This window comes from Homo sapiens, chromosome 1 (assembly GCF_000001405.40).
Source record: "Homo sapiens chromosome 1, GRCh38.p14 Primary Assembly".
Lineage (NCBI taxonomy): Eukaryota > Metazoa > Chordata > Mammalia > Primates > Hominidae > Homo > Homo sapiens.
The window spans coordinates 151,940,929-151,954,529 of NC_000001.11; the positions used below are offsets into that span (position 1 = coordinate 151,940,929).

General features: G+C 43.3%; 1 long non-coding RNA gene and 1 pseudogene across 1 annotated transcript in view, besides 1 other annotated feature; both read right to left on the bottom strand.

Annotated features, from left to right (window-relative positions):
- Window positions 1-12,708, bottom strand: part of LOC124904421 (uncharacterized) — a 31,359-nt gene extending 18,651 nt beyond the window's left edge. The window contains exon 1 of the long non-coding RNA XR_007066624.1: window positions 12,551-12,708. This is a non-coding gene — a long non-coding RNA (uncharacterized LOC124904421). The remainder of the gene's footprint in view (window positions 1-12,550) is intronic.
- Window positions 4,746-5,281: an enhancer, noted in NCBI's record as "OCT4-NANOG hESC enhancer chr1:151918150-151918685 (GRCh37/hg19 assembly coordinates)". NCBI's record gives its function as "activates a minimal SCP1, AML or CMV promoter by ChIP-STARR-seq in primed H9 embryonic stem cells {active_cell/tissue: H9 hESC(primed)}" and the evidence as "EXISTENCE:reporter gene assay evidence [ECO:0000049][PMID:30033119]".
- Window positions 8,379-10,064, bottom strand: KRT8P28 (keratin 8 pseudogene 28; annotated as a pseudogene).
- Window positions 12,709-13,601: the final 893 nt, after the last annotated feature.

Below are 13,601 nucleotides of genomic sequence, written 5' to 3' on the forward strand. Positions count from 1 at the left end.
TTTTAACTCATTTAATCCTCACAAAAACCCTATAGTCTAGAGTCTATTATTATTCCCAATTTACTGATGGGGGAATTAAAACTCATTGAGGTTAAGTAACTCATCCATGAAATCAAAGCTAGTAAGTAAAGAAATCAGAATTCAAACCTAGGCAGTTTGGTGCCAGAGCCTGTGTAAGTAACCATTGCACCCCACTCTGTTATGGTAGAAGCTGGGCAGTCCTGAATCAGTTCCCCAAAAATACAGTGATTTAAATAAAATTTATTAGTGTATCCTAAGTGAATCTGACTAAGCCTGTTGCTGGGGAAATCGGTCAAGGTCATTTGACTCCCTTTCTAGCTGCCCTGCCTGTCTCTCTCTCTCTCTCTCTCTCTCACACACACACACGCACACATACACACACAGTCTTTTTCAAGGTCATTTGACTCCCTTTCTAGCTGCCCTGCCTGTTTCTCACTTAAACACACACACACACACACACATACACACACACACACACACGCACACACAGTCTCTCTCTCTCTCTCATAGTATTTCTTCCCCTGTCTGGCTCACTGGAAGAAATGACAATATCATAGCTGCTCCAGGTCTGTGAATGATGACAGTAAGGACTGGTGAAAATGAGTCAGGAGCCATTCATTGGAAAGATTGTGTAAGTGTATGTATTGTATTTTCACCACTAATATAGTAACTTGGTTACAGTTGCTTGGTAACTATACACTGTTCTAAGTAATCCTTAAAAACTGGCTCTGGTGAATGCCCACAGAGATTTTTCCACCTCTTTTTGCAGCCTCTAGTTCTCACTACTGTAACAGGGCAACAAAAATCCCATAGTCCTTATGTCATACCTTTGCCCACACTCCTCCTTTGTGTTTGGCATCCACTCATAGCACTCTTTTGCCAAGTTCTGCAAGTTAGGAATTCGAACCCATGGCATGAAAACACTTCTAATAGCTCTTAAAATTACTATTTTTAGATATTTATGGGCAAAATTTCAACACTGCTGTCCCTTATTAAAGGAGAATAATTAAATAAATTTCATATTTTGAGTGGAAGACACCTGACCACACTGAACTTGGATGTTTTAGTTCCCTACTCTGAGAGGCGGGCTCAGTGGAATCCTAGGACATTAGGGCTGGAGGAAATAGGGAACTCCCTGCTCAGAACAGAGGGCTCCCCCAGGACAAAACCCTGCTGTGTGTTTTCTGTGTGACTTTACGTAAATTAGTTAAGCTCCTCAAGACTCAGTTTTCTTATCTGTAAAGGCAGATAACACTAGTTCCTAACTCATAGTGTTGTAGGTGTGGAGAATGAAATGAGAGGATGGGTGTACAACAACAAGAACATTGGGTACCCAAGGCAAGTGATTGGATGGAACAAGCAGTAAAGATCACGTGTGCTCCAAGGTCACCCAACTTTAAAGGTCTGAAGCAAATGTGCAGGGGGTGCCATCAGTGGCTAGAGTTTATGAATTAGGGGTCTCTACATGCTTGGTCGTCCATGCAGTTCTTATTTATTTATTTTGAGACAGAGTCTCACTCTGTCGCCCAGGCTGGAGTGCAATGGCGCAGTCTCGGATCACTGCAACCTCCACCTCCTGGTTTCAAGTGATTCTCCCGCCTTAGCCTCCTGAGTAGCTGGGACTTCAGGTGCATGCCACCACACCCGGCTAATTTTTGTATTTTTAATAGAGATGGGGTTTCACTGTGTTGGCCAGGCTGGTCTCAAACTCCTAACTTCGTGATTCTCCCGCCTCGGCCTCCCAAAGTGCTGGGATTACAAGCGCAAGCCACTGCGCCCGGCCCATGTAGTTCTTTAAAAACATTTTAGTAATTTGCCTACCTTAAATTCAGGAGATTTCTTATAACAACCTGAATTTTTGGCTTCTCTTGAAACTGTGGGAAGGTCTAAAAATCCTCTGCCCTCTTTCCTATATGGCCACAATAGATAGGAACTGGGTAGGGATTACCTCCAAGGGCATTCTCTCTTTAAGTACTTGTGATCAGCAGCTCAAAGGCATTTGAACTGACTGGTGCCTGGCACACAGAACATCTTACCCAATAACTGCACATAGCAATGATAAGAGCCAGCAGGGGTCAAGTCCTTCTCATGTGGAGGAGATAGAAAAGCAAGAACCCAATACTGAGCATTACTAACCACATCATCTAAGAACTCCTGTAACTGAAGTAGAGCATCAGTAATCTTAGCCATTCACCGGAAACATTTAGGCCCATTCATCAGAAATGTTTCAAGCTAGTGAACAAGAATGTGTTTTCATGCCTGTCATATCAGGGCATTCAGTTACATACTCAAAAGGAAGTCCTTGAATCAGGAAGATGGCTCTGGTCAAACAACGTTTCTATGGTTTGTCTTTTCCTTTTTCTAATACATCTAGAAAAGTCTAATTTTAAAATACTCCAAGGATGCCTCGTTGATCTTATTTGGGGAAGGGAAGAATAGGAATGTTTGAAATTCTCAAAATAATCTTAAAACATAATTAAGGTAAATATTTGATTTAACTAAACACTCTGTCATTTAGTAGGGAATGAGCAAAGTGGCAAGAACCAAGTAGCAATTTGGGGGACTTCAGCCCCTTACTCCCACAAAGACACCCCACTCCCCAATAAATATTCATTCCAAGTAAAATAGTGGTTTTTTTGCCATTGCAAATGAGGGGCAAGACAAGTGCCCAAGTGCCACATCTCTTCCCAGACTATTACCCTACGTCCTTCCTTTTTAGAAATTTCCAAGGGACAATGAGGAGGTTGATGGCTGCCTATACCCCTCTCTCTGAAGGGAGTTGTGAATTAAATCAACAGGAATTAGGTCTCATTCCACAGAATCATTCATCCCTGCACTAGTGAATTTATTGCAAATAATGTGGCTTTATGGTTTGTTTTGCTGAAGTCCATCTGACTCCCTGTTTTGAACATGATACAGGTGCTTGGTTGGAACTGTGATCAGAATTTCTTTTTTATTTTTATTTTCTAAATTTTTATAGAGGTGGGGTTTTGCTATGTTGGCCAGGCTGGTCTTGAACTCCTGGTCTTATGTGATCCTCCCACCTCAGCCTCCCGAAGTGCTGAGATTACAGGCATGAACCACTGTGCCTGGCCCAGAATTATTTTTAAAAGTAATCATGCTTGACTTAGCCCTGTTAAGCCTCCAAAATTCTGGTGAGGTCCCTTTGCTTGTAAATACTTAGAAAAACTGTACATGAGCAAAATAGAGAAGAATTAGATAAACATGGCTTTGTATATAGCAGTGTCCCAGTAAGTAAGCAAACTGATATTCCCTACATACCCTATTTCAGAGGGCAGGCTGAGGGGCGCTCAGGCAGAAATACCGTAAGTTCAACTGAATGGCAAGTTCTTTAATCCAAGATTGAAGTGTGTGGCAAAACATGCCAGGAACTCTTACAAGCAGTTGGCATGAATTAACTTCTTTGATCCTCACAGCAGCCCTAAAAGTAGGAAATATTTTTCTGTCCCTGTTACAAGTAAGGAAACCAAAGGACAGAGAGGGAAAGTAACTGCCCAGTCACACAGCTAGTAAATGGCAGAGGTGGGGCATAGATCCAGGCAGCCTGAAGGTTGTACTCTGATGATAAGATGAATTTCTGGCAAGCACGTTTTGCTGACCTCTCCAAGGCAGACCTAATGTGGTGACAAAACCTATCACACTTGCTTACTGTGGCACGATGCTTTTGCGTTGTGACACAGCATAGCTACAGTGCTTACAGCACAATGCTGTGAGCCCAGAGGAGCTTCATGTCACCTTTAATGACCCAAATTAGACCTAAGAAAATTGTTAGCCAACAATGACAGCATCCTTACATCACGTCAGCGCTTTAAAAAGTGGTGAAATTTAATACTCAGTTTGCTTTTGAAATCAGGTTCACCCAACCTCCACTCTTAGCTGTGCATTAGATAAATGTAGAAATTGCCTCCTTTTTCATCTTGAGTCTCAAACAACAGCTCTGGACTCAGAGCTAATAGACTTCCTGAGTCCAACCAATTCAAGCAGCCAATGAGGCATCCTGGCAAATGAGGACATTTCTCCAGGGGATGAGGCTGTCCTTGGTGCCCTTGCTCCCCTCTGCCAGCAGGATAGGTTCTGTGAGTTATGCTTCTGGTCACGTTGGTGGGTTTGTGCTGACCTGTCCCCAGTAGACTCTTTTGTGATGAGGGGTGGGACTAATGAGACGCCTGGCCAAAGTGGCAGAATCTGTGACTGTGAAAGATGGTGACACTGCCAGGTATAAGGAAGGACTTAAGTTGATGGGCACCAAACAGAGAACTTTCTCTATGCCTGTGACTGGAACATGTCCATCTTGGTAGCCAGGTCTCCACTACACAATTCAGTTTTTGCTCCCTTAGCAGTTAACTGTCAAATTAGAAATCCATCCTGTTTTAGTCTTTAAAGCCTTGATATAATTTAACTATAGTCAGCAGAAACAAACAAATGAACAAAATCCATCAATAACTTGTGAGGCTCTTCCTTTCCTATAACCCGAGGTCATCAGACATAATGGTTAAGGGTGTGGGTCCCTGGAAGAAGACTGCATGGCTTGAATCCTGGCCCTGTTACTCACCAGACACATAACATTAAGCTCTGGGTATCTCAGTTTCTTCATCTTTAAAATAGGAATAATGATAATTGAAGACTAAGAGTGCCTCATAGTAAGACCTTAATAATTACCACTATCTCTGTTTCCAGTCATCCTCAGGTAGTTCAGTGTAATCTGGTAGAGACATATCCTAGCTGTGAAGAAGTAATTATGTTATTTTGGCTCTCCCCTTTTTCTCTTTACTTCTTGCACTGCTATGTGACAGCTCTCGGGTGCCAAACAGCCTCTTCCTGTGATTAAAGTTTCCAATTTATAACAAACAGAAACAAACAAACAAAAAAGCGGTAGTACTTACTCTAGCCACACCCTACGTGAGGGCAGATGCTGGGCTGTTGCCATGGTGATGCAGAGTATTTTGTAAAACACTTGGCCCGGGGGCAGTTAATGAGTCATACTCAGGGATGGGTGGGGAAAGGGCAACTGCTTTCAATTAAAAGGGACAGGCCAATAATAGTTGAATTGGGAGACTGCCTTGGTTCCTGCAGTACATCAGAGACACCTTGGGGCTGAGGGTTTTGTTATACACTTGGTCCATTTGTTGTGTGGACATTTTCTATTTCCTTCCTCTGGGTAGAGGGAGCGATACAGTAGATTCCCTTTTGCTCTTCCGCTTATATAAAAAACTTCCAACTAAGTTCTGATAAAATCAGTTCTGTTTTCCTGTGAAGCGTTGACACAACTAAAGCTAGTGAAAGGATTTTTGTGACTTTCTTCCATCCCGTGTCTTTGCACATATTCATTGTCCATAAGTAAGGCATCTGAAACATATTATTCAGCATTATCCTAAACTTTTCAGCAGGAAGTGTTTGAACAACTATAGGCAACGTAATTTCAGGATGGAGGATCTATACCTTACATGACTCCTCTGAAATTTCGTGCTGGTTGAAGTCAGTAAACCTGCCTCAAGCATGCTGAGAAGTGGTTACATGTTGCCTCCTGAGGTGTGTCATACACCTCAAGTGGTTAGTTATGATTAATATTGCTCAATTCTCATTGACTACTCATAGCATATTGGGCAGGAGCAGAGTGTGGACATACCCTCTAGGAAATGACATGCTAATAAATGTCAACCACTCAATCACTTAACTAGGTCTTACTGAGCTGTTGCCATGAGAAAGGCACAATGCTAGGATATAATCAGGAGTTTAAACATAGTAAAACACAGCTCTTTCCTACTGAGAGCTTATAATCTTAGGTGAGAAGGAAGAGAAAAAAACATAGGAAAAAATAACTTGCAATAATATGATGCACATGGTAATATTAAATGAATAGTACCAGAAATGGGTGATACGTGTGTAGAGGAGGGAGAAATTACCATGGGCTGTGGTGGTCAAGGGAGGTGGGATTTGACATGAGTTTTGAAGTATGGGTAGAGAAGAGGGTGAGGGCATTCAGGAAAGGGGAAAAGATCAACAGCACAAAGATTGGGCCTCATCCCTGGAACTTGGTCCATGTAAGGATGTGAGGACTGGCCAAGGGAGGGCCAGAAACTGGGGACAAGACAAGTCATTTAAGTGGGGTGCTATTAGCATATCATGGAGGGTCATTAATACAGAGGGTAGTACTTGTGGAGCCAAACAAAACCAGAAGAACTATGTGGAATCCAAAGGAGGCTATTCAAAAACTTGCAAGTTATGGGCCTGCCAAGGAAGGAAAAAGTGAAAAGAATAGAGATTTCAGTCAACCCAAGTCATACAATCAAGCGCAGAAATTAACAACATAATTTTATAAGGTGTGAAGGATCTGATGAATTGGCATGGTGACATTATAGTGACTCAAGAGCCAAATGAAAGCTGTGATTAATCAGAAAAATATGTATACTCAATCTTCAACGTCAGTTTTATAATATTTAAGGGCATTTGATTATTATGAAAGGCAACCTTTAAAAGTGATTGTTGAGTTTTGCTTGATTAAAAACTAGGATATGAAGATTTATACTTAAGGTACAAAAAGATGAAAAACCTGGGTTTCTTTTTTGTTTTTTGAGACAGAGTCTCACCCTGTCGCCCAGGCTGGAGTGCAGTGGCGTGATCTCGGCTCACTGCAAGCTCCGCCTCCCGGGTTCACGCCATTCTCCTGCCTCAGCCTCCCGAGTAGCTGGGACTAGAGGTGCCCACCACCACACCCGGCTAATTTTTTGTATATTTTTATATTTTTTTAGTAGAGATGGGGTTTCAGCGTGTTAGCCAGGATGGTCTCGATCTCCTGACCTCGTGATCCACCCGCCTCGGCCTCCCAGAGTGCTGGGATTACAGGTGTGAGCCACTGCTCCCGGCCAAACCTGGGTTTCGGAAATTTAATTTTAATAAGGCAAATATTAATTTTAAAAATCAAAATTTTGCAAATAATTTTTTCTATGTGCAATTGCTGCCTTCAAGGACACCAACAGCCCCACATCACTCTGGGGCCAGTTTTAGAAGCAGACCTTCAGGGGAGCAAGTCGGGCGGGGGAGGGGAGGTGGGCTGCAATGGGAAAGGCAGAGATTGCTGCAGGTGAGCACAGTACGGAGGGTGTCCATGGAGGCCAAAGGTGATTCAGGCCAGCAGGGGCGGTAGTGGGAGACTAGATATAGGGTCTGTCAGTCCTTGGGAGTGGGGCTTGGGGAGGGACTTTAGTCCCTCAAGGTATTGTAAAAGTTATAAGAATCAAACTTGAGGCGGGGCGTGGTGGCTCACACCTGTAATCCCAGCACTTTGGGAGGCCGAGGCAGGCAGATCACGAGGTCAAGAGATCGAGACCATCCTGGCTAGCATGGTGAAACCCTGTCTCTACTAAAAATACAAAAAATTAGCCGGGCGTGATGGCGCCTGCCTGTAGTCCCAGCAACTCGGGAGGCTGAGGCAGGAGAATTGCTTGAACCTGGGAGGCAGAGGTTGCAGTGAGCCGAGATCGCACCACTGCGCTCCAGCCTGGGTTACAGAGTGAGACTCTGTCTCAAAAAAAAAAAAAAAAAAAATCAAAATTGAATCACTTGTGTTAAAAATTCTCACAAATGGAGCTGGGGAAGGTTCTTATGCACAAATGACTGATAATGAGAACTATTAGAAAAGAATCTGCAAAACCCACAATCTTTTAAAAAGGCCATCACAAACTTACACAAAAAAATACTTTTGTGAGGACATCTGCCAGCCACTGCCTGTCCAACTTGGGACTGGTGCCACTAGTGTTGTTGATCCTTGTAGCCAAGGATAATTGATTCAAAACAATTGTGTAATCCCCCCTCTTTTATCCTTTAAAAATCTTTATCTTCCTTTACCTCCCTGAATATGCACGTTTACTATGGCATGTGTATTCCCATTGCAATGCCTATTCCCAAATAAATATGATATAATATAATTTATTTATTTTGAAACAGGGTCTTGCTCTGTCACCTAGACTGGAGTGCAATGGCACGATCATAGCTCACTGCAACCTTGAACTGCTGGGCTCAAGCGATCCTCCCGCTTGCCCTTCTGAATAGCTATGACTGCAGGGTGTGCCACCATACCCGACTAATTTTTAAAAATTTTTTTTGTAGAAAAATTATGTTGCTCAGGCTGGCCTCCAACTGTTGGCCACAAGCAATCCTACTGCCTTGGCCTACTGAAGTGTTGGGATTAGAGGTTATAGGTGTGAGCCACTCACTGTGCCTGACCTCATTTTCTTTTCTCTTTCCTTGTTTCTTTTTCTCCTCCTCCTCCTCCCTTCCTCCTCCTCCTCTTTTTTTTCTTCTTCCTTTTTCTTCTTTCTTCTTCTTCTTCTTTTTTTCAGAGCTAGCTGTTGCTTTATTTTGGAAAAAAAACAATTGAATTGTTTTTTAGTTGGGGGTATGGGCAAGAGGAGGTACCCCAGGGGAGGCTAGGGCTGAGCCTCAGGTGGGTCTCTTGTTCCCCTTGCTTCCCTACACAGCGGCCTCCCCTGCAGGCTCTGGGGCAGCCACAGGAGCAGGAGGCTGGGAGGGGCTGCCATGGCCGTTCACTGGGGCAGGACAGCAGAGGGCTGGACACCAGCTTGTTATTGCTGGTTTGGATCTTTTTCAAAACCGTGGCCTTGGAAGCGCTGGTACGGCTGAAGGAGTCAGAGCTCTTGCCAGAGTCAAAGCTGGAACCCAGGCTGTGATTGAGGCCAGAGCTTGTGAGGCCCAGTAGGCCGAGCTCAGCCCATCTGAGCAGCCACTGGTGGTCTTTGTATGGATACTCATGTTCTGCATCCCAGACTCCAGGCTGCTGTCCTTGTCCTCCGGCAGCTTCCCGTAGGTGGTGAACTCAGTGTCCAGGGGAGCCTGGCGTTCATCAGCTCCTGGCACTCGCGTACCTGCTATGTCATGCCCTGCTTGTCCCACTGCAGGGTGGCCTCCAGCTCTGCCAGCGTGGCGTTGGCTCCTTTATAGCCAGCGGCTTGGCTCTCCGATGGTGAACCCCAGGGAAGCCCTCTGGCCTTTGAGGCCCTTAGTATCAGCTGGAGCCAGATGATGTTCGGGTTCATCTCTGAGATCTGCATCTTTGTGCACCACAGGGCATCCCTGTGTTTCCCAGCCAGTGTCTGCAACCCCTCACACTTAGATCTGGTGCCCTCTCAGCCTCGCCCAGCTGCTTTGGCTATCTCCTCCCACTTGGGGACTTGGCCATGTCACTGCCCACATCCAGTGTGCGGCTTTTGGCCATAGACAGGACCACAGATGTGTCCGAGTCTGGAGGTCTCCTCTTCATACAGCTGCCTGAGGAGGCTGATCTCATCAGTCAGCTCTCCCAAGCGAGACTCCAGCTCTACCTTGTTCACTTAAGCTTCATGCGCGTCCTTCTTGATGAGGACAGATTGATTCTCCATCTCTGTTGGCTTATCAGTCTCACCCTCCTACTTCTTCTTGAAGTCCTCCAGCAGCCTCTGCTTTTCCTGGCCCAGAGTGTCCAGCTGCCACCCAAGGTTGTTGATGTAGCTATGGAACACGCTGTCTATGTTGCTTCCAGCCTCCTCTCCTGCTGCTGGAGGCTCCACTTGGTCTTCAGCATCTTGTTCTGTTGCTCCAGGAACCCCCACGTTGTTGATGAAGGAGGCAAACTTGTTGAGGGTGTTGATCTGCTCCTTCTCCTGGGTGCTCACGGCTTGGATGTTGGGGTCCACCTCCAGCTTAAGGGGCTTAGCAGGCTCTGGTTCACCATGGCGGCTGTGATGCCTCCCATACTACTGGCCCTGGCATAGCCTCCACCCAGACCCATGCTGATACCCAGCCACTCCAGAAGCTGCTGCTGCTGCCCATTTGGGAGGAGCTCCAGGAGCTGATGCAGGCACCAGCCCATTCTTGTAGGAGCAGCTGCTGAGGGCCCTGGGGCCAAGGGGGACACCCCGTAGGACTTCCAGGTCACCCTGGTAGACATGGTGTAGGCAGAAGTGGAGGCAGGCAAGTGGAACCACATAGAGACTCGAGAAGGAGCCGAGAAACTGCTTCTAGGTGGGCCTTGTCTTCTTTTAGAGAGCCTCTTTCTGTCTGTTATTTAGGTTGACATAAATGGTGCCAGAAGCAAGACCAAAGCGAGCTCACCTCAGATGGATCCACAGATACTGGAATTGAGTGCAGTTCCAACTGAGGTGTTGGTGCTCTTTGCTTGTGTGAGTCACCTGTTCTGCCCTGCTGAATTTTATTTTGGATTCTCAGACTCCCACCCTTTGATGGGTTCTTTTTGTTTGTTTGTTTTTTGTTTTTGAGATGGAGTCTTGCTCTGTCCGCCAGGCTGGAGTGCAGTTGCCCTCACTGTGACCTCCAACCCCCTGGTTCAAGCGATTCTCCTGCCTCAGCCTCCCGAGTAGCTGGGATTACAGGCACGTGCCACCACGCCCAGCTAATTTTTGTATTTTTAGTAGAGATGGGGTTTCACCATGTTGGCCAGGATGATCTTGATCTCCTGACCTCGTGATCCACCTGCCTCAGCCTCCCAAAGTGCTGAGATTACAGGCACGAGCCAGCACGCCTGGCTGGGTGGGTTCTTTTGACTTTATTCAGGATCTGTTTGGTTATAAGGCTGCTTTAAGTAAAGGACCTTGCATCCGTCTTAGGACTATAGAAGACTTTGCTGTCAAGCCATGTCCTTTGGAATGTATTATGGTTTCACCAGAATTACATTCTATCTGTGAGATGTGTCTTTTCTTGTGAATTCATTTTTTGTTCTTTTATTTCAATTTTGGTTCAATATTTTGTTTGGTTTGCATGCCTGGCTTAAAGTGTTTGTGAGAACTTTTATTTTGGTTTCATCTGGTTTTGTTATATGTATCTGTAAATGATTTGGCTTTTAAATTCCCACTCCACCCTCCAAAGCCCGTACCTCCTATTTCTGAAAATCTTTCAAGAGCAAAAAATAAATATTCTAAATGGTGGAAACAAGATGGAATGAAAAGCCACTATGGTGGTCACCACCATCAAAGCACCAGTCCAAATTCCTGGTATTTTCTGACAGGATTTATAAGATTTTCTTTGCTCTGGAGAGATTAATAAGAAATGGAACAGGATCTTCAAAATTCAAAAGCATATCAAACCCTTTAGTACTCCAGCTGGCTATACATTCAAAACTTATGGCTTATTTTCGAGCATATTTTTTTTTTTTTGAGATGGTGTCTTGCTCTGTCGCCCAGGCTGGAGTGCAGTGGCATGATCTCAGCTTACTGCAACCTCTGCCTCCTGGGTTCAAGTGATTCTTCTGACTCAGCCTCCTGAGTAGTGGGGACTACAGGCGTGCACCACCACACCGGGCTAATTTTTGTAATTTTAGTAGAGACGGGGGCTTCATGATATTGTCCAGGCTGGTCTCAAACTCCTGACCTCGTGATCTGCCTGCCTCAGCCTCCCAAAGTGCTGGGATTATAGGCGTGAGCCACCACGCCTGGCTGAGCACATTTTTTAAACTGATGGAAAATTACATCAAGAAAAATTCAGAGCTCAAGGGACATTATTTGAACTCTGTAAGCTTAGTTTTTAAACTGCCAGCAACTATAGAGCTAACATGTAGGGCCTTTAAATTCTCTATTTTTTTCTGCCTACTTTGAATCTGCTGACTTTTCTACCGGTATTAAGACAAATTCTCTGCTTTTGACATTCCAGCCAACATAAAAAAAGAAATCTTAAAAGACTTTTAAATTAATGACTTTACAAATTACAATAGCTCTGTGGAAATAAATAACCTAGACATCTAAGAGTCAAACCTTTTGAAAATGTAAATTTGGCTAATAATAGCTTAGAGTGATGAAACAGTTAATTGAAGGATTGCTATTCTGAAAGAAATAAACTAAATAAATTTATAAAAGTTAGGCTCATAGGTCGAACAGGTAAAAATCTTGAGCAATAATATAAGGTAACTCTGTCTGGCATAAAAAAAAATTAATCTGCCATGCAAGGGTCAGAAATAGCTAGGAAAAAACCTACAAATAACTTTTTCTAAAATGCTTTCACAACTGCATTGACTAGTCAAGCAAACCAGACTGACAAACAAAAGATAGATTGTTACTAATTCAAGGCTGCTTGGAAATTTTGGTTTCTTATACTCTTCAGCCAGTTCTAGCTAAAATGTAAACATTTAAAAATTTAACCCCCTAAACTCATTTGAGACAAAAAAGGGGGTAAAAGAGATTTAAAAAATCCAAACTACTTTTCCCAATATTTTGGTCCACAGCCTTTGTTAGATTACCTATCAGAGAAAATAAAATTTAGCCATGTGAACAGGTCCCATTTTGTCAGAAATATAATTTGAATACAACTGTCTTTTATAAATGGGTGTTCTGTGTGGGAAATGCATGAAGGGAGAAGAAAGATCACACACACAATATCTTTAAGGGTAAACAACCTTTATCCCACGTAAATGGCAGCGCAGATAAAATAAGCAAATGATATAATAAGCAAATTGCAATGGGAAGGGGAGAAGGAAAAAGATATATATATATATCTTTACACTCACCAGACTGTGGAGGATTCACCACCAGACTGGGAAACAACAGCCTGGGCTCCAGAGTTGGACACTCACCACCAGACTGGGAAGTAACAGCCTGGGCTCCAGAGTCCACCACTCATCCGTGCACAGATGAGGAGCGGCCTCATGAAGCTTCGGTGCGGTCTGGGACCCTATCTCTTTTTGTAACGAGTTGTTTGGCATGAGGTCCAGTCAGGAGGGCCCTTCGCAACTGGGCTCAAGGAACACAAAAAGGTCAACCTGTTTTTGTGATTGTCTGTTGTTTTTCAATAACTAATGTACAGGAATAGATTGAAATAGAGATTTTTCTGAAACAGCGCTGGATGAATGCCTCAAGGGGCTCAAACAACCTGTTCCAGGACTTGGTGACTATTGTTTGTGTTCATGTTTAATTGAGTTCAAATTTAATATTTAACTTTTCCTCCACAATGGGTGAGTTTGTATTACTATGTTTTACTGTCTCATGAATAAAATCCTAAAATAAAAGCCACAAAATCTTTGTGTTTAGGTGTGCCTACACATATGTACATTTATTATTTTCTGTGTTGTATCTATATGGTAAAACCTGATGTAGTCAGTAGAATTCCCTTAAGAAATTCTATTCAGATTGGCTAGATAAGTGAATGCTCATATAAATTGTTAAAATATATAGTAACTAACCCAAATGCATTTTAGTTCATGTGACTTAAATAAATCTTTGATAAATATGCTAGTTTTAATTCTGTTGATAAAATAAAAATAGAAATGTCTTCAGAATTGTCAGCATATATTTTTGACTGAGTTTACCGATTAGACAGTTTTATATTTGTCTCTGCTAAATGTTTTAAGGGGTCAGGATTTGACACAAAGTTTATAAAACTGTATATCTAGTCTAAAAATAAAATGATCTTTGTGTAACTTTAATAAGTAAGACAAATTTAATAATGTTAATTTAATAAAACAGCTATTATCAGCAAAATTTTTGTTATCTTGTTCTCAGCAAAATACCCATATGTTTATCTGTAAGATTCTTACTTAGGTGAATACCTGAAATTCACAT